At 34.0% G+C, this 26387-nt stretch overlaps 2 long non-coding RNA genes across 2 annotated transcripts in view; one reads left to right on the top strand and one right to left on the bottom strand.

Moving 5' to 3' along the window:
* The window catches only part of LINC02241 (long intergenic non-protein coding RNA 2241), a 325854-nt gene that overhangs the window by 61593 nt on the left and 237874 nt on the right, over positions 1–26387 (bottom strand). The window lies entirely within an intron of this gene.
* Positions 292–26387, top strand: LOC105374673 (uncharacterized). The gene is made up of 3 exons (XR_925822.2): positions 292–327; positions 2208–2333; positions 24479–26387. It is a non-coding gene; the product is annotated as an uncharacterized LOC105374673 (long non-coding RNA).

The following is a 26387-nucleotide window of genomic DNA, read 5'->3' as shown; positions in this document are numbered from 1 at the left end:
TGTATCCTGAAATTTTTCTGAAGTTGTTTATCAGATCTAAGAGCTTTTGGGCAGAGACTATGGGGTTTTCTAGGCATAACATCATATCATCTGTGAAGAGAGATAGTTTGAATTCCTTTCTTCCTATTTGGATATCTTCTATTTCTTTCTCTTGTCTGATTGGTCTGCCTAGAACTTCCAGTACTATGTTGCATAGGAGTGGTTACAGTGGGCATTCTTGTCATGTTTTAGTTCTCAAGGGGAGTGGTTTCAGTTCATTTTATTGGATTCCTTATTCAGTATGATATTGGTTGTGGATTTGTCACAGGTGGTTCTTATTTTTTAGAGGTATGTCCCTTCAATGTCTTGTTTGCTGAGGGTTTTAACATGAAGAAATGTTTGAATTTCTCTAAAATCTTTTTCTCATCTATTAAGATATATTATGGTTTTTGCTTTTAGTTCTCTTTATGTGATATATTACATTTATTGATTTGCATATATTAAACAAAACTTGCATCCCAGGAATAAAGCCTATTTGATCATGATAGATTAGTTTTTAGTAGTGCTGCTGCATTTGGTTTGCAAGTATTTTGTTCAGGCTTTTTGCATCTGTGTTCATCAGAGATATTGGCCTGAAGTTTTCCTTTTTTGTTGTGTCTCTGCCAGATTTTGGTACAAGAATAATGCTGGCCTCAGAATAAGTTAGGAAGAAGTCCCTATTCCTCTTCATTTGTTTTTGGAATTGTTTCAGTAGGATTGTTCCAGCCCTTCTTTATACAATGGGTAGAATTTAGCTGTGAATCGTCTAGTCCAGGAATTTTTTTCAGGTTGGTAGGCTTTTTATTACTGATTCAATTTTCATACTCATTACTGATGAGCATGGGGTTTCAATTTCTTCCTGGCTCACACTTGGGATATCGTATGTTTGAAGGAATTTATCCCCTTCTAAGTTTTCTAGTTTGTGTGTATAGAAGTGTTCATAATAGTCTCTGAGGGTTGTTTTATATTACTGTGGGGTTGGTGGTAATGTCTCCTTTGTCATTTCTGATTGTGATTATTTGGATCTTTCCTCTTTTTTCTTCTTCTTATTATTCTAGCTAGCAGTCTATCAGTCTTATTTATTCTTTCAAATAACAAATTTTCGTTTCACTGAATTTCATTCAGTTCAGCTATGTTTTGGGTTATTTTCTTCTGTTTTGCTAGCTTTGGAGTTGGCTTGCTCCTGTATTTCTAGTTTCTCTAGGTGTGATGTGAGGTTGTTGTATGTATGTATGTATACACATGTTAGAAATATATATATATATTTAATATATATTATAGAAATATATAAAAAGAAATGTATAGTTAGAAAATGTGTGTGTTTAGCACTATAAGCTTTTCTCTTAACTTTCACAAAACAGAAATCATACCAGCCACAATCTTGGACTACAGAGCAATATAAATAGAAAGTATTACTAACATGGCCTCTCAAAACTATGCAATTACATGGAAATTAAAAAACCTTCACCTAAATGAGTTTTGGGTAAACAATGAAATTGTATCTGCTTTAGCTATGTCCCAGAGATTCTGGTATGTTGTATCTTTATTTTCATTAGTTTCAAAAATTTCATTATTTTTGCCTTAATTGCATTGTTTACCCAAAACTCATTTAGAAGAAGGTTGTTTAATTTCTATGTAATTGCATAGTTTTGAGAGATCATGTTAGCAATGCTTTCTATTTATATCGCTCTTTAATCCAAGATTGTGGCTGGTATGATTTTGCTTCTTTGAAAGTTGTTGAGAATTGTTTTATGGTCAACTTGTGGTCAATTTTAGAGTATGTGCCATGTGCAGATGAGAAAAATGTATATTTTGTTGTTTGGTGCATTCTCTAGATGTCTTTTAGGTCCACTGGGTCAAGTGTTGAGTTTAGGTCCCAAATATATCTGCTAGTTTTCTGCCTCAATGATCTATCTAATATTATCAGTGGCATGTTGAAGTCTCCCACTCTTACTGTGTGATTATCTAAGTGTTTTTGTAGGTCTCTAAGACCTCGTTTTATGAATCTGGGTGCTCCAGTATTGGGTGCATATATATTTAAGATAGTTAAGTCCTTCCTTTGAATTGAACACTTTAACATTATGTAATGCCCTTCTTTGTCTTTTTTAATCATTGTTGGTTTAAAGTCTATTTTGTCTTAAATTAGAATAGTAACCTCTGCTCTTTTCCATTTTCTGTTTGCTTGATAGATTTTTTTCCATCACTTTACTTTGAGCCTATCAGTGTCATTGAATGGGAGATCGTTCTCTTGAAGACAGCATACAATTGGGTCTTGCTTATTTATTCAATTTTCTACTCTGTGCCTTTTAGGTGGGGTAAGTAGCCTGTTTACATTCAAACTTAATATTGATATGCATGGATTTAATCCTGCCAGCATGTTTTTAGCTGGTTGTTGTGCAACCTTGATTGTGTAGTTGCTTTAAGTGTCTATGTACTTAAGTGTGTTCTTGTGGTGGCCAGTAATGCTCTTTTGTTTCCAGTTTAGCACTCACTTAAGGGTTTCTTGTAAGGCAGGTCTGGTGGTAACAAATTCCCTTAGAATTTGCTTGTCTGAAAAGAATTGTATTCCTCCTTCACTTATGAAGCTTACTTTGGCTGGATATGAAATTCCTTGTTGGAAATTCTCTCTTTAAGAGTGCTCAATATTGGCACCCAATGTCTTATGGCATGTAAGATTTCTTCTGATAGGTTCACTGTAGCCTTATGGGTTTCCTCTGTGCATGATCTGCCCCTTCTCTCAAGCTGCCTTTAGTATTTTTTGTTTCAAAATGATCAAGAAAAATCTGATGACTACATCTTGGGGATGGTTGTCTTGTACAGTATTTCACAAGAGTTTTCTGAATTTGAATGATGAACACTCTAGCAAGGTTGGGGAAATTTTCATGAACAGTATCTGCAAGCAAGTTTTCCTATTTGCTTGCTCTCCCTCTCAGAGACACCAGTGATTCATAGGTTTGGTCTCTTTACACAATCCCATGTTTTTCAGAGTTTCTGTTCATTGTTTTTTATTCTTTTCTCCTTATTCTTGTCTGACTTAGTAGATTTGAAGAATCAGCCTTGAGCTCAGAGATACTTTCCCCAGCTTGATCTATTGTGCTGTTAATATTTTTGATTGCATTATAAAATAGTTGCAGTGAGTTTTTCAGCTCTATTGGATCAATTGGTTCTTTCTTAAAATGGTTACTTCGTTTTTGAGCTCTTCTATCATTGTATTGGATTCCTTAGATTTCTTGGATTAGTTTTTTACTTTCTCCTGAATCTCAATGATCTTTATTGCTATCTAGATTCTGAATTCCATGTCCATCATTTCAGCCATTTCAGCCTGGCTGAAAACCATGGCTGGGGATCTAGTGTAGTCATTTGGAGTTAAGAATGCACTCTGGCTTTTTGAGTTGCCATAGTTCTTGCACTGGTTCTTTCTCATCTGTGTGGGCTGATGTTTCCTTAATCTTGAAATTTCTGGGCTTTCGATTGAGTTTTAATATTTTTATTCTTTGATGTCCTCGAGGGTTTCACTGTAATGTAACACAGCTGAGTCAAAAGAGTTGACAGTTCAGTCAACCCCCTTTATTTCTGGATGATTTCAGAAGGCCAAGTTTCAGCTCAGCGCTCCCGAGCTGCATGCTCAATCCCTGGGGGGCTAGTACCGGGCCTACAACTTTGTTCTCTGACCATTTCAGGTTAAGCACCTGGTTTGCTGGAGGGGCTGAGGTGTTCCAAGTGTGTTGGCAACAACACTCCAATGTGGACATTCTAACACAAGTGTTTAATCAGGGAAGGGGCAACATGGTTCATGCTGTGTACATGCTCTGGTGGCAGTGGGGGGACAATGTGGAGGGGTGCATGAGCACTGAAATGGGGCAAGGCAGGTATTTGTTACATATGTTTATAAGTGGTATTACATAGCAGTCTTCATTTCCTGTAATATATTTGTCTAGTCTTGCTACTAAAATAATAATTCCTTTATAATAATAATTCCTTTAGCGAGTACTTCTCTTTTCTCTACTGGCTTATATAGTTTGTACGGATGTGGTATCATTTCTATCTTAATGTTTGATAAAATTCACCAGTGAAGACCTCTGGACTCAGATATTTTATCATATAAGGACATCTAAGTATGAACTCAATTTATTTAATTAATCTAGGTTAATTCAAATTTTCTATTCCTTTTTAAATCCTTGTTGACACATTGTCACTGTCATTGCTTTTTGTGACTTTATGTAAGGTTGCATCCAGTATAGCCACTTGCTTCATCCACAGCATGAGATTTAAGAGGAGAGAGAGAAAGACAGACATGTCAAAACTACAGTCTTTTATAATTATACACTAGTTGAATAACATTTGGCAGCTTGCTTCACTCAGAGGAAGATTTAAGAGGAGAGGGAAAGACACAGATGTCAAAACTACAGTCTTTCATAATTATACACTAGTTGAATAACATTTGGGTTGATTCCAGTTTGAAGTAACATACTATCATTTGTACATATGCTACTTGTCAGACAGACAAATTCTAGTAAAATAGTTAAAGTGATTAAAAGAGGTTTCAAATACAAGGAGGCAGAGGTCATTGGGCATAATCATGTAGGATGGCTAATAAAACATCTTTACTGATTTTGTTTCAAACTTCTCTCATTTTTTCCTGATGGAAGTGAATAAAGCTCTCCAAATAAAAATTAAAAACTTCTATTTCTATATTCAATTCTGTCAAGTTTTTCTGCATATATTTCAAGCTCTCTTTTAAGGCTATACAATCTTTCACATATTTTCCCTGTGTTTTTCATTTTTAATATAATATACCCCTACTTATTTTTTATTAATAATACTTTGGCTTAAAGTGCAGTTTATTTGATATTAATATAATCATTCTGACTTTTGTTTTTGTTCACTATTTTCATAATATATCTTCCCCCCCATTGATATCTTGCCTGAGATCATTTTGTATAGCTATTTATTTTTGGTTTATTGATGTATTATTTACAAACAGTAAAGTTCATTGTTTTATCTGCAATCCTAGAAATTTTGATAAATGTATACATTTATAAAGCCTCCAACATAATCATGCTATATAGTTCTTTCGTCAAACTCAAACCTTTAGGCAATTTTATATATCTCGCCCAGTGATTGCCAATGAACATTCTATTTACTGCAGTGATAAATTTGCCTTTTCTAGAATATCATATTAATTGATCATACATTATGTAGTCTTTACATCTACTCTCTTCTTATTTTATAAGATTCATCCATGCTGTTGTGTGAATCAATTCTTTCTTTCCAAAATACTATATTATTGCAGAAGAGTGAACTATTTTGTTGTAGATACTATACTGTCTGTTTATTCAAACACCCATTAAAGCAATTTTCATTGATTCCAGTTTTGAGTGTTTATAAATAAAGTCATCACAAACAATCATATGCAAGTTTTTTTGAACAAAGCTTTTTGTTTCTGTGTGTATATATGTCATGTGGATTATTGGATTATATGGTAAGATTTTATTTATATAGGAAGCTGCTAAACTGTATTTTTTTCAAACTAGTTGTACCATTTTCACTTCCATTAATAATATATGAGATTTTCAGTTGCTCCACATACACCAGCACACGATGCTATATTTTTAAAGTAACTCTAATAGGTGTTTAATGCTATCTCATTGTGGTTTTAATTTCCACTAATGTCTAATTATCTTGCATATGACAAAGTGCCTATTCAAATGTTTGGCATTTTTATAGTGTTTTAAAAATGTTAATGAGTTTGAGAGTTCTCGATACATTATAGATACAAATCCTTTTATATCTATTTATTTTTGAATATTATCTCCCTATCTGTGGATTAAAATTTATATTTTCTGTGAATTATACTTTATATTTTTAGCCCTATATTTTGAAGAGAAGTTTTTCATTTTTAAAGGCACAATACATCATCGTGTGCAGGTTTTCTATGTTTATTTCCTAGAATTTTAAAGTTTAACATTTAACAGATAGATCTATTTTGATTCATTTTCCTTTACATTTTTGATGTATTATTAATGGTATATGTCAAGGTTTTTTTGCAGATATGCATAACTATTTGTTTCAGTATGATTTGTTAAAAGTAATTATCCTCATTTTATGAATTGCTTTTGCACCTTGTAAAAATTCTTTTGACTACATATGTTTGGAGCTATTTCTGAATTCTCTATTCTGTTCAAGTCATATATTGAAACAACTTTTGCCAACATCACACTCTTATGACTACTGTCACTTTATGATAAGGCTTAAAATTAGGTGAAGTGTGTAATCCAACTTTGTTCTTTTTCAAAATTGTTTCAACAAGTCTAGTTGCTCTCCTTTTGCATACGCATTTTGGAATTAGCTGGCATATTTGAACAAAAACTCCGAACAGAAATCTGATAAAAATAAATTGAATCTATGTCAAATTTGGAAATAATTCACATCTTTAGAATTATAAACACAGTATAACTCTTGATTTCAAGTGTACCTTAATTTGTTTCATCAATATTTTTTACTCTTTAATATGTATATTTGCAGAAATGTTTAAGATTTATACTGAAATACTTCATGTGTTTTGATTATAAAAACCAAAAATAATAGCTTCCTAAGATTTAAAAAATAAAAACTTGGCCGTAATCAAAAGTATTTTTACATTTGCCAGATTCCATTTGATATTTTGTGAAACAGTTAATATTTAATATTTATCATTAATATTTAATAACATTTAATAATTTTAATAGTTAATTTTATTAATTTAAATTTATTTAAATTAATAAGTGTATTTAATATTTAATTTATTAATTTAAATTTATTAATATTAATTTTAATATTAATAATATTTAATAATTAATATTTAAATAAGGAGAAATAATGATCTTCAGTTTTCATTTGTCTTTCTGATTTTGTATCAGGTGGTCAAAGTATATTCTCTTACCATTAATACATGTAACTAGTTCTTAATATCAGAAAAATTCATGAAAATTTCTCAAGTAAATAAAAATCAGACAACTTACTTATAAGTCTCAGTCATCAAAAAGAATGTTAAATGGAAAACTAGAATGTATCACGAACTGAATGGCAATTAAAACACAGTGTACATAATCTTGTTGCTAAACCAGCTAATTTAATATCACTCAATGCTTGCATTAAAAAAAAAACTGTCTCAAAAATGTAAGTTAACACCATAGAAAAGGTAAAAAAAAAAAAGAATAAGCCCCAAACAAAGAAAATGATAGAAACAATAAAGTTAAGAGACTAAATTAATTTAAAAAATTAAAGAGAACAAGAAAAAAAATCAGTGCAACCAATGCTGCTTCTTTGAAAATATCAATAAAAATGACAAATTTCTATCATGCTGCCCCCAAAAGGATGTGTAATAAAGGGACACATTACTACATATCCTACAGACCTTGAAGGAGAGAAAAATAGAATGTCACGAAGAATGTCATTTATGCCCATAAGTATAATATAGAAACTATTTGAAAGGGATACCTTAAGTTAAAGACATAAATGACCAAAATTCATTCAATATACAGTATATAACGTGACTAATCCTTTGTTAACTAAAGAAAGAAATCAATACTTAAAAGCTTTCAGCAAAGGACAAGGTAACAAGCTCCTTTAAAAAAATTTGCCTGTAAGTCATTTATATTTAATGTCATTATTTATATGATTTGATTAAGTAGTCCATCTTGATAGTTATTTTCTTTTTGTTATTCTCACTTTGTTTCTTGTACTTTTTTTTGTTTTCTTTCTTCAGTTGGGTCAACTGAGTAATTTTTCTGATTTATCTTCTCTGCATTCTTTTAACTTATTTAAAAAAATTATTAGCATATACTTTTGGGATTACAATATATGTATTTTTGGCTAATAAATCTAGCTTCCATTTTTATTATACTACTTCACTCATACTGTCAGAATCTTAGGAAATTATATATTCAATTACTGCTATACATCTTTTATTCTATCTGTGCCACACATTGTTACGTATGTTGTAAAACTATCCTGCATTACGATTGTTGCTTTACACAGGTGTAAATAAACTATGCAATCTATCATCAATGGGACAAATTCAACAGTATCTAATTTTCTTTGTATGCTCAATGTGCTAAGTACATTTTTTACATATCTAAAGAATTGAAAAAAGAGGATGAAGAAGAATAGAAAAAAGAAGGAGCCACCCCGGAAAAGGAAGAAGAGAAAGAGGAACGAGAAGGGGAGAAATGAATATAAATATATGTGAGGCATATACGAGGCACATACATACACATATATATTTCTCCGTATGTGGACACTAAAACCTAACATATTTATCTCATCCTTTAATAAAAAGGTTTGCAAAGCCTCACCTTAGATGTAATTTATTTTTAGTGATTAACATTAAAAAAATAAAGATATTTGCTATGGTCTGTATGATTCTGTTCCTCCAAAATTCATATGTTGAATCCTAAGCACTAAAGTAATAGTGCTACAAAAGGGGTACTTTGAAAAGCTATTAGGTAATGACGGCTAAGCCATCATAAATGGAATTAATGTTTTTATAAAAGGGGCTCCTGAGAGATACCCTGCCCCCTTCAACCTTGTGATGAAACAGCAAGAAGTACCACAGTCTACAACTTGGAATGTGACTCTCATCAGAACCAGAAAATGCTGGCATCTTAATCTTGGACCACCCAGGCTCCAGAACTGTGTGAATTAAATTTCTGTTGCTTATAAGCTACCCAGATAATTGCATTTTATTATAGCAGCCACAAAAGACTAAGATAGTTGTTTAACATTTATAATTATTCTAACAATTTTGAGACATTCATTATTTATATAGATTCAAATTTTGTTCAATAGCATATTGCTCCAGCTTAAATAATGACTAAATACTTTTTGTATCACATTTTTACTCATCATTAATTCATTAAAATTGTTGCTTGTCTGAGTATTTTTTTGTCCTTTATCATATGTATTTTTAGTGAGTATAGAATATGGGACTGACAGGACTGACATTTTTTTCTTGTATTGCTTTAAATATGTCACTCTATTGTCTTCCGACGTATATATTGCTTCGGATTTGCAAAAACAGAAAATTTACTGGAGCTTATCTTTTTTTCTCATTATGACATTTTTCTTTTCCTTCAAGAAATTGTGTTCATCTCTGATTTTAGAGGGTCCTTGTATTTATTATATTTATGGCTCTCTAAGCTGCTTGGATCTGTGGTTTGACATATTTCATTATTTGCAGAAAATTCTCACCATTAGATATTTCTCTTTCCCTTCTGGATTTCCAATTACATGTATGTTTTGCCATTTGATAGTTTGCCATATCCCTGGATGCTTTCTTCTTGTTCATTTGCTTATCCTGCCTGTATTTCACTTGGGTAAATTATAATAATCTGTCTTCAGGTACACTGAATCACTTGTTGGCTGTCTTCAGCCCATTGAATACATTATTCACCTCTCTTAGTGTATTTTTGATTTCTACTGTCTATATTTAGTTCTTTTTCAATTTCCATCTCTCTGTTGAAATTCTCCTTTTTTATTCCTGCTGTCAATTTTTCACTTGAGTTTTAAACATACTATTCACTTTATTTTTATTTTTAAATTACTGTCTAATATTTCCAACATCCAACCAACTTTGTAATGTTGATTTTTGTCTTTTGACATTGTTTTTTATTGTTTCTCTTAATTCTTGTTAGATACTGGACATTGTGTACAGGATGATAATAACAGTAGTAAATAATATATGTACTTTGAAATACGCATGCTTTTTCTTCTGCTATGCTGTTACTGTGGGAGACACAGTTAGTTGAGTCAGCAGTTGATCTAGGTCCTCAGCTTGTTGTTGCTATTGTCAATTAAGGAATGACAAGGTTCATAAATTTAGAAAAAAGAGTTTTATTTCTCATAAATGGCTGCAGCCTGCCACATGGCCCTTCTAACAGACTGGGAAGCATAGCTTCCAGCCAGAAACCAAAAACAGATGATTCAACGGTGGGAGGAGTAAGACAGGAACATATATTCAATCAGCTATAAGAGGAGTCGCGAATATTTGAAAGGAGAAGCATGTGCATATGCAATTGAGCTTCATGCCTCCCCCATGGGACCCATGTGAAAAAAAAATGATGGTGTTAGCATAATCCAAGGGTGTGGATTTTGCCCTGTGACATCAAAAGGTGAAACAGGGATATGAAAACCATCTCTGCATCTCTGCATCTCCATAGACTGGCCAGAACTACTCTGTGGTCAGTGATCTCTTGTCAAGAAGAAATGCTGATCAGTTGTTTTGTTGAAACCCTAAAAGTCAGGGGCAGCTGCCAGTCAGTTGGTTGATATTATCAGTAAAGTCTTTTGAAAGGGCTAGTTTCTGTTAGAAAGCCTAGTGGCTATCAGTGTGGAAGGGGTTATAAGGAGGTATGTTTTACCTCCCATCCAGTTATGTCTGAGAAATCAGTTTTCAAGGTTTCTCTGGGGTTCCTTTGCCCAAAAGGGAGTCTGTTCAGTGAGTTGTGAGGCTTAGAATTTTATTTTTATTTCTCACTATTATTAATTTCAGTACAAAACTACCCTCAAATTCTTCTAACATTACCTTGTACATAGAGTGAGGACTAGTTTGTCCGTGGGTGTTTCCTCAATATTCTTGCTCTACTATTACCTTTATACCTTCCCTGTATTCCCGTATCTTAGAGTCTCTCTCTAAATTTTTGTGTTTCCTCTGTCATATAATGCAATTTCTTATTACTTAAGGTTTGCTAATCTGGTAATGATAGGAATTACATATGTTCTCTGTTGTGCTGGTCAGCCTCTCTTAGTTTCTCTTTGCTCTGTGTTTCAAAGGAGGAATTTCTTGGTGATTTTTGCCTATCCTCAAATAATAAGAGATCTCTAAATGATCTGGGCTCAAATTATTTTTCTTCCTTCCTTTAGGAAATAGTTGGATTCCCACCCCACCTCCCCCCATCTCTGTAGTAGCAAATCTTCATCGCTACCCTGGGAGAAATAGTATTCGCTGTTTTTGTCTTTAGATTATTATTATTTTTTAAATGGCCATTTCTCTCTCATGTACCCTGTAACAGATGGGTATATTCTTGTGTCCCACCTCTCTTACAAAGTTTTTGGTGTATCCTGGGACTCTGGGCTTGATCTTTTCCCTTTAAACTCAATTCTAATAGTCTAAAGGAAAACCATTATCTTGCAAATCACTTCCAAATGTTATGGGTGGCAAGATGAGTGTGAGCCTCTTTCCAGCTTCCTACCTCATAGAGGGAAGCTAGAGGATCCATGTCTTTATATTTTAAGTGCATATCCTGATAGGGTATACAGAAGAATCTTGATTTTTGCTGTTTTATATTTGTTTCACCTCATACTTTTATTTCTTCATTTCTCCTTCTCTGCCTTATTTTTATTTTGCCAACATTTTAGTATACCATTTAGATTACATTGACATTTAACATTTAGCATTATTATTTGTATTAATTTTTAGTTATTGATCTAGTATTGATTGCAACATGCATCTTTATATTATCAGAATACAGTTGTATTTAATGTAGAATTACACCTAGTAAAAATTACTTAGCAGTCATATATTGCAATTACCACCATTTCTTTAAGCTATTTATATCACGTATTTCATCAATGCATGTTACAACAAGATGGTGTTATAATTTTAGCCTTATATTATCCTATACTTTACACAATTTAATATATGTATGTAACAGGGTTACATATCTATAATATAGAAGCTCTTTATATAACATATAACTAATAAATTATTTTTTGAAATGCGATATTTAAAAATAAATAGAAATGTTATTTGGATTATCTAGTTAATTGGAATATTAAAGACACAATATAATAAAATATTTTAAGAATGACAAATATTAAATGTATTTTATGCACAACAGAAACTTTTTTGTTTTTGAGACAGGCTTTTGCTTTGTCACCCAGGCTGGAGTGCAGTGGCACAATCATAGCTCACTATAACCTCAAAATCCTGGACTAAAGATATCTTCCCACCTCAGCTTCCCTAGTAGCTGGGACCACAGACATATACTTTCACGCCCAGCTAATTTTTTAAAAGTTTTTGTTCAGAATGGGTCTTGCTATATTGCTCAGGGTAGTCTCGAACTCTTGGCTTCAAGCAATCTACCAGTCTCAGCCTCTTGAATTGCTGGGATTACAGACCTGAGCCACTGTGCCCAGCAGGAACTTGTAATTTACAGGACAGAAGGTATGTTGACAGAAAGTTTATTTTCACTAGTATTAGCTAATGCTAATTAACTTTTGATAAGATATTAGTAAATTACAGTAAACCCTTGAAAACTGAAATATCTAGTGTCATGAGATAATTTATTTTAAAATGATTGAAGTCAAGTCTCAAATTCAAATGTTTCTTCTAAGTTTGTTGATACTATATTAGATTATTAAATACATTTCAGTGCAGCAAATTTTATTCATTAAAAATTTATAATATTTGACATAATAAATGTCACTAATTGAACTACAATGATTTAGAATGAATATAGTGGTAAACTACCAATTTTAATGCTCTATAAGATATATATTCAATTTATACAAATTAAAACCATTATATATTAGGTATATTGCTTGGCAAAATAGTGAATAGTATATTTAAGAATTAATTAAATGAATATATATGTGCTCACACACACACACTCACACATCTATCATGCCATGCCAAGATCACTAGAAATGACTTATCTCTTCTAACACAAATAATTGATTCATTTTGAACAATGGAATTGGAGCTCTCAAAAATAAGTTTAATAATGTTATGTTTTTCAAGAATCTCAATATTTTACACTCAATGTTAATCATGTATCACTATGTATTACTTTTCTGCTGCTGAAGTTAGTTGATCTAAGTGTCTATGGAGGTTAAATCACTTGATCTTCAGCAATTCTTCCATGGTTCTGGTCAGTCTACTTAACCTAGAAATTACTTCAAGGGAAGAGATTGTGAATCCTATCCTTTATGCCATTATTGGAATAGAGAAAATTGACAGCGATTTTATACAGTCATGATTCTGACACCTTTAAAGGTTAATTGAATGCAACCAACAAGAAATGGTAAATTAGCCAGAACTAGTAACGGTGAAGTTGTGGAGAGGAAACCCTTACAATATCAATTCTAAAGGGATGGGGAAAGAGCTGTTAATGCAGCTGGAAAAATAAAGGCAGCCGAGGGAGGGGGCTTCTGAAAGGAGTTGGGGAAATTCTCCCGCTACCAGACCTTCACTCCTCAGGTGAGAGCAAGAAGAACATGGACCTGAACTACCTTTCTCCACTGAAAGCCAGAAGGCAAGGGATTTGGATAATGCTGTGCATTGATGACAGACTTCAGGCACAACTGCAGGGCAGAGAGAAGAAATCGAGTGGTACATAGAAAATTACCAGAGCAGATTTTCTGGACAGTCATTTAGAAATGTAAGATTTAGCAAGGCATTTTATGATACAATTTAAGTAGCTTGTTGCAAATATATAATTTATCTCTTGCAATGCAAACAGCAAAATGTTTCAGTAGCACGCTAGCAAATCATTAAAGTTCACTAATTCTACTTTTTGAAGATGAAAAGGAAAGGAAAATTGCTAATATGGCCAAGTTCCAAAATATGCTTAACCTGTAAGCAAAGCTATAAAATAGATTTTTGTAATAAAAATAATTACTATTCCAGAAACGTTCTGAGACTCTAGAAAGCAAAAACTCATATAATTATATTATTTCTAATTTCAAAATATTTTATGACTGTGTATGTTTAATTTGGGCGCTATAGTAAATAACATATATATACTCTCCCACAGTTGCATAGTTCTTTTTCATGGATATATGGCAAAGGAATAAAATATTAATCACAAACCAGAATACAGTTTCAGAGTCGGTGACTTTCCCTCTGGAACATAAAAAATGATATTATTGAGAGACAATTATAATATAAAGGATGAGAACATTTCAAGGTAGACCCACGGGATATAGCAAAGAAAGGTCTCATTTGCATAAACAGAGTTGTATTAGGGAACGGATATAACAGGAAGAGTTGCAATAAACACAATTCATAAGCACTACGACAAAATGACTAATCAAACAAGTATACTAAAATACAGCAATAAAAGAGATTGCATATAGTCTAGTAAGAGAAAAGATAGATATTCAAAATTTATGGCTCTCATATTCCTTTATTCAAACTTTTTTGACTTCCAAAATGGTTTGAAAGATTCTAAAACCAAAAGTATATATAAAATTAAAATCCCTTTCTCCCTTTTTCTCTCACTCTTGCTGTGTATATGTATATGGTTATAAATAGAGATATAGATATATTTGTGTGCTGCATATGTATATAAATATATGTGTATCAGATTCTTTTTACCTGCCTATAATTGACTGATTAATTTTTAAAAGTTAGTTAGCAAAAGTGATAGTGTCAGCCAGGCACGGTGGATTACGCCTGTAATCCCAGCACTTTGGGAGGCCGAGGTGGGCGGATCACGAGGTCAGGAGTTCGAGGCCAGCTTGACCAACATGGTGAAACCCCATGTCTATTAAAAATACAAAAATTAGCCGGGTGTGGTGGCACACGCCTGCAATCCCAGCTACCGAGGAGGCTGAGGCAGGAGAATCGCTTGAACCCGGGAATCGGAGTTTGCGGTGAGCCGAGATCACGCCACTGCACTCTAGTCTGGGTGACAGAGTGAGATTGTCTCAAAAAAAAAAAAAAAGAAAAAAAAAGAAAAGAAAAAAATGGCAGTGTCGTTAGACAAATTGCCCAAGAAATTAGTTTAAATTAACTATAGAAACATGATGGTTTATTAGCTAATGAAGGAAGCATCCTTCAAGGAGAAATTGAGTATATTTCAGAAATATACCTATGAGCAACAACATTTAAGTAATAAGCTCTTTTAAGTTTAAATAAGATTGTGAAAGCTTAAAAAAACAGACAGTTGAAAATAAAGCCAATCAGAAAGCAATAAAGCGGCCGGGCGCAGGGGCTCACGCCTGTAATCCCAGCACTTTGGGAGGCCGAGGCGGGCAGATCATGAGGTCAGGAGATCAAGACCATCCTGGCTAACACAGTGAAACCCCGTCTCTACTAAAAATACAAAAAAATTAGCTTGGCGTGGTGGCGGGCGCCTATAGTCCCAGCTACTCGGAAAGCTGAGGCAGGAGAATGGCGTGAACCCGAGAGGCGGAGCTTGCAGTGAGCTGAGATTGCGCCACTGCACTCCAGCCTGGGAGACAGAGCAAGACTCCGTCTCAAAAAAAAAAAAAAAAAAAAAAAAAAAAAGCAATAAAGCAGGGGAAGTAAAAATCTAAAAATCGGCATCTTTAACATTAAGTATTACGTGAGTATTTTCAAAGGCAAATTAAACATTTTAAAGTACACGTCTGCATCTACCAAGTCACAAATCGAATATGAAGGTACAATAAAGTAATTTTCATATACCCACAATTAAAAAATATGCATCTAGGACTTTGCCTTTTGCAAGTTAATTGATATGGCTAGCAGCAAAATGTAATTAGTAAACCACGAAGCATTGAGACCCAGGTAGAAAACATTCGAACTAGCCTAAGAATTTTATGCCGGGGAGTCTAAATCATCAATATATTTAGGGAAGGGTTAATGCACAGCCTTGAATGCCTGATTAGAAAGCTTTGATTTGTCATTTGGTATGCAGAGAGACACTCAGAGAGAGAGAGAGAGTACACCAGACAGATAGAGGCTATGGTGCCAATCTTGGTACTACCATAGGCTACCTGAGTGAACTTTTTAAGTTATACTTATCCTTAAGTGTCTCGTGGGGAGGCTGGGATATATTTTCTGCAAACTTTTCATCATGCAGAAAGTCACAATGGACAGTAATGTTCTAGCCAAAGATTACAGATAATAAGCTAGTAAAAATATTAATATACCACATATTGCATTGTGCACAACCATGGGGAAAATTAAAAAGCACGATAGAGTTACAGGAGATGTGGGAGTGGTGCATAAATCATTTTATAATAATATTTAGTTAGAGTTTTGCTTCAAATATGATATTTGTGTATAGAGTTAAAGAAGAGAGATCAAGGTACACAGATATAACAGAGAAGAGTATTCCAGGCACAGAGATTGGCAGGTGCAAAGGTTCTAAGGTCAGAGCATGTTCAGTATATACCAAGAAAAGCATGAAGACCTTCCTGTCTGAAGAAGATCAAGTGTAGGAGAAATAAGAAGGGGATTTTGTAGTGTAGCAACAGTGAGAATTGATCAAATATACAATATATTCTGAAGAGACAAGAACACAGGCTGATGAAATAGATGTGATGTGTAATAGAAAAAGGAAGAGCAACTAAGGATTTCCAGATCATGGCTTGAAGAACAAGAAGGGTGGATAACTCATTAGCTTAAGGGAGAAAGTAAGATTAGCAGGTTCTTATTAGATGACTCCAATGAAACAATAGGTATGGGTCATGTTAATTCCAAGAATCCTATTTGATACCCAAGTAGAGAAGTTAAATCATGTTAAAGATCTATTTTAGGAGTTCAGAATTGAGATAAAAATGTAGGGCTTGCTAGCCTATAGAAATTACATCAATCATTTTAACAGCAAATATTACACAGGAAATCAGCAAAATTTAGATGATCAAGAAATGAGCCTTGGACTTCACCATCTTTTTGTCAAGAAATCAGTAAAGGCTTTTAATATATTGGACAAAATCAGGAGTGTGTGTCTTTCTAAAGACAGACAGAGAAACGATTTCAAGAGGGGACTGATCACTTGTACCAAACTCTGCTAACAGGTCAAGCAAAGTGGAGTTGAGGACCTGATCATTGGATTCAATAATGTGGAGATTATTGATGAGCTTCATAAGAACGGGTTTGTTGAAGTGAGGGTGAGGATGAAATCCTAACTGCAGTTACTGACCAAATCTGTGAAGAAAAAAAATAACCTATTCTCTCAGTAGATTGTTTCTTCATCTACATTCAGACACTAAAGATTATGTACTTTTCTGTATAAATAAAAGGGGCACAAATGCCATTTTTTACATGGATATATTGAGTAGGGGTGAAGTCTGGACTTTTAGTGTAACTAACTGTCATTCAAATAATGTAAATTTCCTCTATTAAGTAATTACCTTTTGCTTTACCATAAGCCTCTCCATTTTTTAGGTAAAATTATTTACTAGTTGCAATATATTCTCTCTTTTTTTCCAAAAATTATCACACCAGTTTCCTTATTTTCCTGTTTCCACTCTCTGCCATCAATGCACATGCATTCCAAAATTATCACATATACATGATTGCATCAGCCTGTGCATTTGTTCTTGATTTTTTCACTAACGGTTTAGCCCGTCACATTTTTCTACTGCTGTATTAATTTACAAAATGAAATTTTCTAGTTTGTCTTTTTTTTGTCAAAAAATAGCTTATGTTATGTCACCATCTGAAAATAATCTCACTTCTTTTTAACTGTATTTTTCCATTGAATATATTCAAAATTCTAATTTTAAAAATCCTCCATTGCAATTACATGTTTCTGCAATTGTAGTCCTGTCTCCTACCTATTCAAACCACATCTCAGAATAGTTTCCTAAAAATGCTGGCTTCATTTCCTCACCTATCTCTCTCTCCTTAACCCCGGACAATCTGTTTTGTATCCTATCACTTCTCTTAAATAGCACTTCTAAGATCTTCATTGATTTCTCCATCTCAAAAGCCAGTGGTCAATATCCTCTTACTTGACGTCTCAGCATTTATTGACCTTGTTGACTCTTCCTTGAAACGTTTGTGTGACATCACACTCTTGGCTTTCTCTTAACTTTCCGATTTATTCTTTCTTGAATTCCTCTTGACCTTATCTATACTACGTAGTCAAAATTTTGGTGATCCCTTTTCTTTTGTATTGCTTCCTAGCAAAGCTCATTGACTGCTCCAACTCCCATGACTATTGGTGAACAGATTGTGCATACCTTTCTATATATTCAGTCCAGGCTTACTGTTTTAACTTTGAAAATCCACATATTTCTTGAATGTCTATTTCAAAGGAACATCAGAGGTACATTAAGCTGAGTTTATGGTCCTCTTGCCTTAAAGGATTTTATTTTCTGGTCTTGTCCAGATTCCCTATCACAATGAAAAGAACCATCATGCCCCCAAATATCACAACTAGGGAACAAAGGAACCCTGGAATACTCTGTCTCTCTAATTTCTAGTTATCCAATATGTACTTTCAATTTTTAATTTTAAGTACTTCTTAAATTACTACATAGCTATCTATCTCCAAAGCACTTATTTGAAGCAACCATTAGTTCTCAACTAGTCTAGTGGTAAAGCATTTTAATTTGCTGACCTCCAATTCTCTTGTCCAAACCAACTCTTTACTGGAGAGTGAGTGCTTTATAATTAAAATGAACCTCTGATAATAATACATTTTCTCCTATTATTCATTTAAGTAATACCTCATTATATTTAGAATAAAAAACAAAGTTAAAAGCTCCTATAATATCTGAGACTGGCTTATTTTCCCTGTCTCCCGTGCAACAGGACAACACTTTCACCTAATTCTAATATTCTTGTGTCCTACTCTCACTTCTATCCATCTCAAATCTTTTTTCTTTAGGAAGTTCTTTGATCCTACTGATGAAGTTAGAATTCCTATTACACGTTCTCTAGCACTGTGCCTTCGGAGAATCATCTAACTGTAGTTTTAGCTATATTTGTGGGATTATATCATGCATTTCTACCTTCTTTCTAGATTATATATTCCCCAAAGATGGTGTTTCTTGTAATGTGAAGTATGTGTTACTAGTATTTGATATGGTATCTGGAATTCTAGTTTATAATAAATTATTGGCTTAATTAGTTAACCTCTAGCAATTAAATTATTTTACAATATGATGCTAAACTGCTTTTCTTCCTTTGTATACTATTATTCCTCTACATTTGCTCACTGAATAATAGAGATTATTTATTTTTCTGAACATGTTTCTTACTTTTCCACATTTTCCCATATATTTTATGCCGACTACAGAGCTGTCCAATTCCACTCTCTTTTTTCATCCTTTGACTTTTTCCTCAATCAAATTTCAAGGTCCACATCAAATACTACGTCATTATTATAATATTCATTCCTTTTAGTTTCTTATTTTTAAAAAATCTTTACAAAGGCATATATTAGTTCTCTAATTTTTAAAAATCTCTTCAGAGCCACAGTCTATCTTATGTTATAACAACTTCTATGCTTTTCTTATTTTCTTGTTTACCCCAAGGGAATTGTAAACTCCTTGAATGCAAAGACTGTTTCTTCTTTTGCTTTGTATTTCTGCAATATAAGTTTCAGTTTTTTGATGGTATAAATTAATCATTTTTTGTTATTGTTGAGTTTATACGTTCAAGGTCACAGAAGAAAGACAAGTATCAGAGTCCAGGTCACCTCACATCATTATACAAAGTAGTAAAATATTTCATGAAAATGTGTTACCAATATAATAAGAAGGCCATTATTTTAAAAAAACAGCCTCAAATAAAATGAAAATTAGGGGTATATTCTGAGTATGAATGTTTGTGTCCTTCCAAAATCTCTATGTTGAATCCTAACCCCTAAGGTGATGGTAGCTGGACGTGGGGCCTTTGGTAAGACAGCCCTCATGATTGGAATTAGTACTCTTATAAAAGATACCGCATCAGATCTCATGAGACTTATTCACTATCACAAGAAAAGCACGGGAAAGACCCAGCCCCATGATTCAATTACCTCCCACCAGGTACCCCCCACAACACATGGGAATTGTGGGAAGTAGCTTTCTTTCACTATGTGAGGACACAGGAAGAACTATGAAGCAGAAAGCGTGTCCTCACCAAATGCCACATCTGAAGCATATGATCTAGACTTTCCAGGCTGCAGAATTGTGAGAAATATTTTGTTGTTGTTTATAAGCTACCCAGTTTATGGTATCTTGTTAGAGCAGCCTGAATGGACTAAGACAATGTGCATGACAATTGTAATTTGTTTGTTATTAAATGATATGTATTAGTTCACTCTCATGCTGCTAATAAAGACATACCTGAGACTGGATAATTTATAAAGAAAAGAGGTTTAATTGATCAACAGTTCTGAATGGCTGGGGAGGCCTCAAGATCATTGTGGAAGGTGAAAGGGAAGTAAGACACATCTTATGTGGCAGCAGGCAAAAGAGAGCTTGCGCAGGGGAACTCCCCTTATAAAACCATCAGATCTCGTGAGACTTATTCACTATCATGAGAACAGCACGGGAAAGACCCAGCTGCACGATTAAATTACCTCCCACCAGATCCCTCCCATGACACATGTGAACTGTGGGAGCTACAATTCAAGATGAGATTTGGATGGGGACACAGCCAAAACATATCATTCCACCCCAGTTCCTCCCAAATCTCATGTCCTCACATTTCAAAACAAATCATGCCTTCCCAACAGTCCCCAAAAGTCTTAACTAATTTCAGTATTAACTCAAAAGTTCACAGTCCAAAGTCTCATTCGAGACTGGGCAAGTACCTTCCACCTATGAGCCCATGAAATCAAAAGCAAGTTAGTTACTTCCTAGATACAATGGGGTTACAGACATTGGATAAATACAGCCATTCCAAATAGGAGAAATTGATGAAAACAAAGGGGCTATAGGCCCCATGCAAGTCCAAAATCCAGCGGGGCAGTCAAATCTTAAAGCTCCAAATTGACCTCCTTTGACTCCATGTCTCACATCCAGGTCATGCTCATGCAAGAGGTGGGTTCCCATGGTCTTGGGTAGCTTTGCCTTTGTGACTTTGCAGGGTACAGCCTCCTTTCTGGTTCCCTTCATGGGCTGGCATTGAGTGTCTGCAGCATTTTCAGGTACATGGTGCAAGCTGTTGGTGGATCTACTATTCTGGGTTCTGGAGGATGATGGCTTTCTTGTCACACCTCCACTAGGCAGTGCCCCAATGGGGACCCTTTGTGGGGGCTTCAATCCCATATTTCCCTCCTGCACTGCCCTAATAGAAGCTCTCCATGAGGGCCCTGCCCCTGCAGCAAATTTCTGCCTGGAGATCCAGGTGTTTCCATACATCCTCTGAAATCTAGGAGGAAGTTCCCAAACCCCAGTTCTTGACTACTGTGCACCAGCAGACTCAACACGACATAGAAGCTGCCAAGGCTTGGGGCTTGCACCCTCTGAAATAACAGCCTAAGCTGAATGTTGGCCCCTTTTAGTCATGACTAGAGTGGCTGGGATGCAGGGCAAGTTCCTAGGCTGCACACAGCAGGGGGTCCCAGGGCCCCGCCCACAAAACAATTTTTGTATTCTAGGTCTCAGGTCCTATGATGGGATGGGCTGCAGCAAAGATCTCTGACAAGCCCTGGGGATATTTTCCCCATTTTCTTGGTGATTAACATTTGGTTCCTCATTACTTATGCAAATTCTTATAGCTGGCTTGAATTTCTCCTCAGAAAACGGGCTCTTCTTTTCTATTGCATCACCAGGCTGCCAATTTTCCAAACATTTATGCTCTGTTTCCTTTTTTAAAACGCAATGCTGTTAATAGAACCTAAGTCACATCTTGAATGCTTTCCTGTTTAAAAATTTATTCAGCCAAATACCCTACATCATCTCTCTCAAGTTCAAAGTTCCAGTTCCACAAATCTCTAGGGCAAGGGCAAAATGCCTCTAGTCTGTTTGCTAAAATACAGCAAGAGTCACTTTTTTTTCCAGTACCCAACAAGTTCCTCATCTTCGTCTGAGACCACCTCAGCCTGGATTTCATTTTCCATATCATTATCAGCATTTTGGTCAAAGCCAGTCAACAAGTCTTTAGGAAGTTCCAAACTTTCCCACATTTTCCTTTCTTCTTCTGAGCCCTACAAACTGCTCCATCCTCTGCTTGTTACCCAGTTCCAAAGTCACTTCCACATTTTCCAGTATCTTTACAGCAGCACCCCACCCAACTGGTACCAGTTTACTGTATTAGTTCATTTTCACGCTGCTAATAAAGACATACCCAAGGCTGGGTAATTTATAAAGTAAAGAGGTTTAATTAATTCACAGTTCCACATGGCTGGTGAGGCCTCACAAACATGGCGGAAGGTGAAGGGGAAGCAAGACATGTCTTACATGGCAGCAGGCGAGAGAGAGTTTGTGCAGAGAACACCCCTTTTTAAAACCATCAGATCTCATGAGGATTATTCACCATCATGAGAACAGCACAGGAAAGACCCACCCCCATGATTCAATTACCTCCTGCTGGGTCCATCCCATGACACATGGGAATTGTGAGAGCTACAATTCAAGATGAGATTTGGGTGGGGACACAATCCAATCATATCATGATACTTTTCAGTTAAGTGAAGATTGGGCTTTGGTTTGTCCCATTGCCTACTACTGTTTATTATGACTGTAATATGAGAGATTGCATAATGCATACATAGGCCAAATAACTTTAAGTGGTGCTACTCTTTACAATCAAAGACTCAAAGCAAAGCCTTGAAACATCAAGGCAATTTATAAAATGGCAGTATTAATGCTTCTTGCATTTTAATGCTTAGAGTTCCTAGCAATACACAATCGTGCATTTATTGATTTTAATTTTCTATGAGTATCAGGGTTAATTATTTCTCAAGATGCCTAGATAAAGATATACACTGTAGTCAATAATTTTTGATATTCATTTTGAAAAGTCAATATCTACTTATAAATTATGTAATTGTCAAGATATTTATAAAGAAGAAAGTAATTCCTTTCTTCAAATGAAGTATACTTTTAACTATTTTCTTAGAAAAAGACAGCTTGGAGAAGATACCTGTAAATTACTAAAATAAACTGCTTTTAATTAACATTATTGACTCTTTGATGCTAAAACTTTTTTTGAGTCAGTTAAATTTTTACTATTGGAGAAATATCTGCGTATGGATAGAAGCGATTCAGTTTTTATACAGAATAACCAAATCATGTATCTAGCATTTATATATATATATATAAGGCAACATATCATCCTCCCATTGAAAGAGTAAAGAAGAAGCTGCAAAGTGACAATGCAAAATACACAAAAAATGTGTTCTCCTTGTAACATTTTACTCTTCAGTAGGTGGAGAAATACCCTCATTCATTCATACAGATATATTTCTAGAGAGAGAAGGAAGATTCTCTGAGGCAAAATAAGTAAATAAATAAAAAGGAAGTGTATGAAATGTGAACCTAAAATAATAGAAACTCTACTGCTTTGGACTAAATTGAATCCTCCCAAATTCATATGGAGATATCCTAGTCCCAAATGTTATGGCATTTAGAGATAGAGTGTTTGAGAGATAATTAGGTTTACATAAGGTCATGATAGTGGGACCCTGATGATGGGATTATTGACTTCCTAAGAGACAGAAGAGAGCTTCCTCACTCTTTCTGCCTGGAGGGCACAGAGAGAAAGCAGCTATCTGTAAGCCAGGAAGAGAGTCTTCACAGGAAACTGATCCTGCTGTCACCTTGACCTTGAACTTCTAGTATGCAGAATTGTAAGAAAACAAATTTCTGTTAACTCACTCAGTCTGGCATCCTGTTATGGAAGCCTGAGTGGACTTATATAATTACCAAGAGTCACACACAAAAAGTAGATATGATTTTATTTTTATACTACCAAAATAGTTTCAGAGCCTGGGTACTACTAGAATTTGATATGAAGGGCATTTATCCATAGATAAATAATTAAAACTGCATAATTAATATTATCAGTTAATTTATTGTCTTAAAAATAATAAGAATGAGTAACATGCGAACTAGTATTCACAATGCAAACAAAAAGTCTTAAGAAGATTGGGAAGAACTTCAGAGGAATAACAAAAACAATGGTAACAGTGACATTAATGGTGGTTATGCTGATGAAGATTGTGATGATGAACTATGAATCAGTTATTTTAAAAGAACCATCAGTAGTTTTAGAATGAAAATACATGATTTTGAAAAATTTTTAAAAAATGACTGAAGAGCTGACCAGCTGATTAAACATACCTTTACAGTGAATTATTGAGCTGGAAGTCCATACCACCAGGTTTTTCTAAGAACATAGCACAATAAAACAAAGATTTTTAGAGTATAAAATAACAGTTTAAAATCATTTAATGGAGTTTAGCTTCTCCAGAAGAAGTTTAATTAATATCAATAAAATATTATTTCACATTTATTTTTTATCACATTAAAGACATATTTTTGGACACAGAATGCTTTGTTTATTGATTTTTAAAATATTATTAAATTAATGTGTAAATCAGTAGTGAGGTAAAGAATAATTTGGAAAACTTGGAAAGTAGCCCAAAACACATTTGATATATTTTCTTACACAGAATTTTTAAAAATAAAAATGCTATAGAATAGTTTGAAATATTCTATATTTAAAATATGCAGTATTCAAAGCTAACCAGGAAACTTAAAAAAGTAAACACACGCAAAACTACACATACACAAACAAACACACGTTTCTTTTTCCTTTCAGGTGGAAAGGCATCTGGAAACAGAGGAAAACATTCCATTTAGAAGAAAATCTCAATGTTGTCCTTGGGTTTGTGAGTTTTCAGATCTCTCTTGTTTGAAAATGAGAAGACCAAATCTGGATTTTTCTATGTTCTCCTGGCTCCAGAGAAATAGCCATTGTTTTCCCGGAAATGATGAGGCAATAGAAATCTATAGGCCCATTCCTATAAGTGCCACCTCAGCCATTGCTAATCCACCTGGTAGGCCCTGGGTTCTTCAGGACATTGAGAAATATGAAACTTTTCTAAAACAGAGGGAGCCTTCTTGGATTACATCTCATCCATCAGGGAGCAAGGCTCATGCTCTAAGCTCCAGTACACTGCTAAGAATTCTAGGTAAATCTCTACTGATAAACCCTTCATATCTCTCTGTCTACCTACTGACTCCTTCTCTGGGGTCCTGAATATATCTATTATAAAACTTTCTTGAGAAACTTCACCTATATCTTATCCTGTATCCTATTTACTTAAAAAAAGTATTTACTTTTTACAAATGTCAACAGCTTTAGGGTAAAAGTGGGTTTTGATTAACATGGATGAATTGTACGGTGGTTAAGTCTATATTTTTAGTGTACCCATCACCCGAATAACACACATTGTACCTAATAGGTAATTTTTCCTCCTTCATCCCTTTCCCAACCTCCTCGCTTCTGAGTCTCTAGTTTCATTATACCATCCTGTATGACCCTGCATACTCATGGCTTAGCTCTTTGCAATTGTGACTTGTGCTGCAATAAATATCTCATGAGGAAAACACATTTTCTAATAATACTTTAGCTACTATTATTACATCAGCCTTCTTGCATAGGAAAACTTTCACACATCCAGAAAACATGTATTGCAAATGACAATTGAATCAAATCCTCCTATAAGTGTTTAAGTGGTCCATCAAATAGCAGATACATACCAGAAATTTTTATTGTCTTTATTCTCTTCCCAGGATTATGGGTTTGACAAACCAAACCTTGGTCATAAACCATTTTAACAATTTAGAACAGTCACCACATATATGTATATATCTAAATGTATTTGATTTTTTCCTCACAAAAGCCCTTTTGGAATTAATAAAAAGATAAAACATTATTCTTATATGAAGCTCCACTTAAAACTCTCTATGTATCTTCTAGTGTCTTCAAATATCCCACCTCCTACCCATAACATACTAAGAAAGTTTAAGGCAATAAAAATCTTAAAAATTACTCTTATAACATATTCTCACCCTCCCTAGAGCCAGAGATCTCCTAAAAAAACTTAAATTCAAAACAAAATTAATTTTCTTTAACCTTAGTAGTCAAACCTCTTTTACTCTAATGCTATTATTTTTTTGTGAGTTTCTTAAAAGGCTGTACAACAAAGGTTAAATTGTGTAATGTCATTTTAATCATGACAGTATTTATATTCTTTGGAGCAATGAGATTCATCTTAATGACCTACTGTACTGGTATAATTTTTTTTATAGTAAAAATGACCAAACAAGGAAGGCGAAATACATTGAATATATTTCAAAATGTCAAGTTCTTAGATTGGAGCTCATATGGTTGTCTAGTTGGGGGAGATAACTCCATTCTCTTCTTTAATATTTTATAAATGAGAGAAGAGTTCAAAATTATTTAGAAATTGATTTGTAAATCCAAGACAAATAACCAAGTATTCTGACATCTCATTAAATGTCCCTGTAATATGTATTCAGTGTATTATTTATACCCTTTTTAAAACTAAATCACTGCTACCTGAAAATTAAGTCCGGATATCAAACAGCTATATAGTCTTTTTCATATAAAAACAAAAGTTTATTCTATTCATATAAACATTAAAATGTGGGCTTGTTTTTAAACAAACAAAAGTAAGAGTGCTAGTATAGTTTTACCAATA

Source organism: Homo sapiens, chromosome 5 (genome assembly GCF_000001405.40).
Source record: "Homo sapiens chromosome 5, GRCh38.p14 Primary Assembly".
NCBI classification, from domain to species: domain Eukaryota; kingdom Metazoa; phylum Chordata; class Mammalia; order Primates; family Hominidae; genus Homo; species Homo sapiens.
The sequence above is the reverse complement of the archived record's forward strand: the minus strand, read 5'-3'. Positions and strand labels throughout refer to the sequence as shown.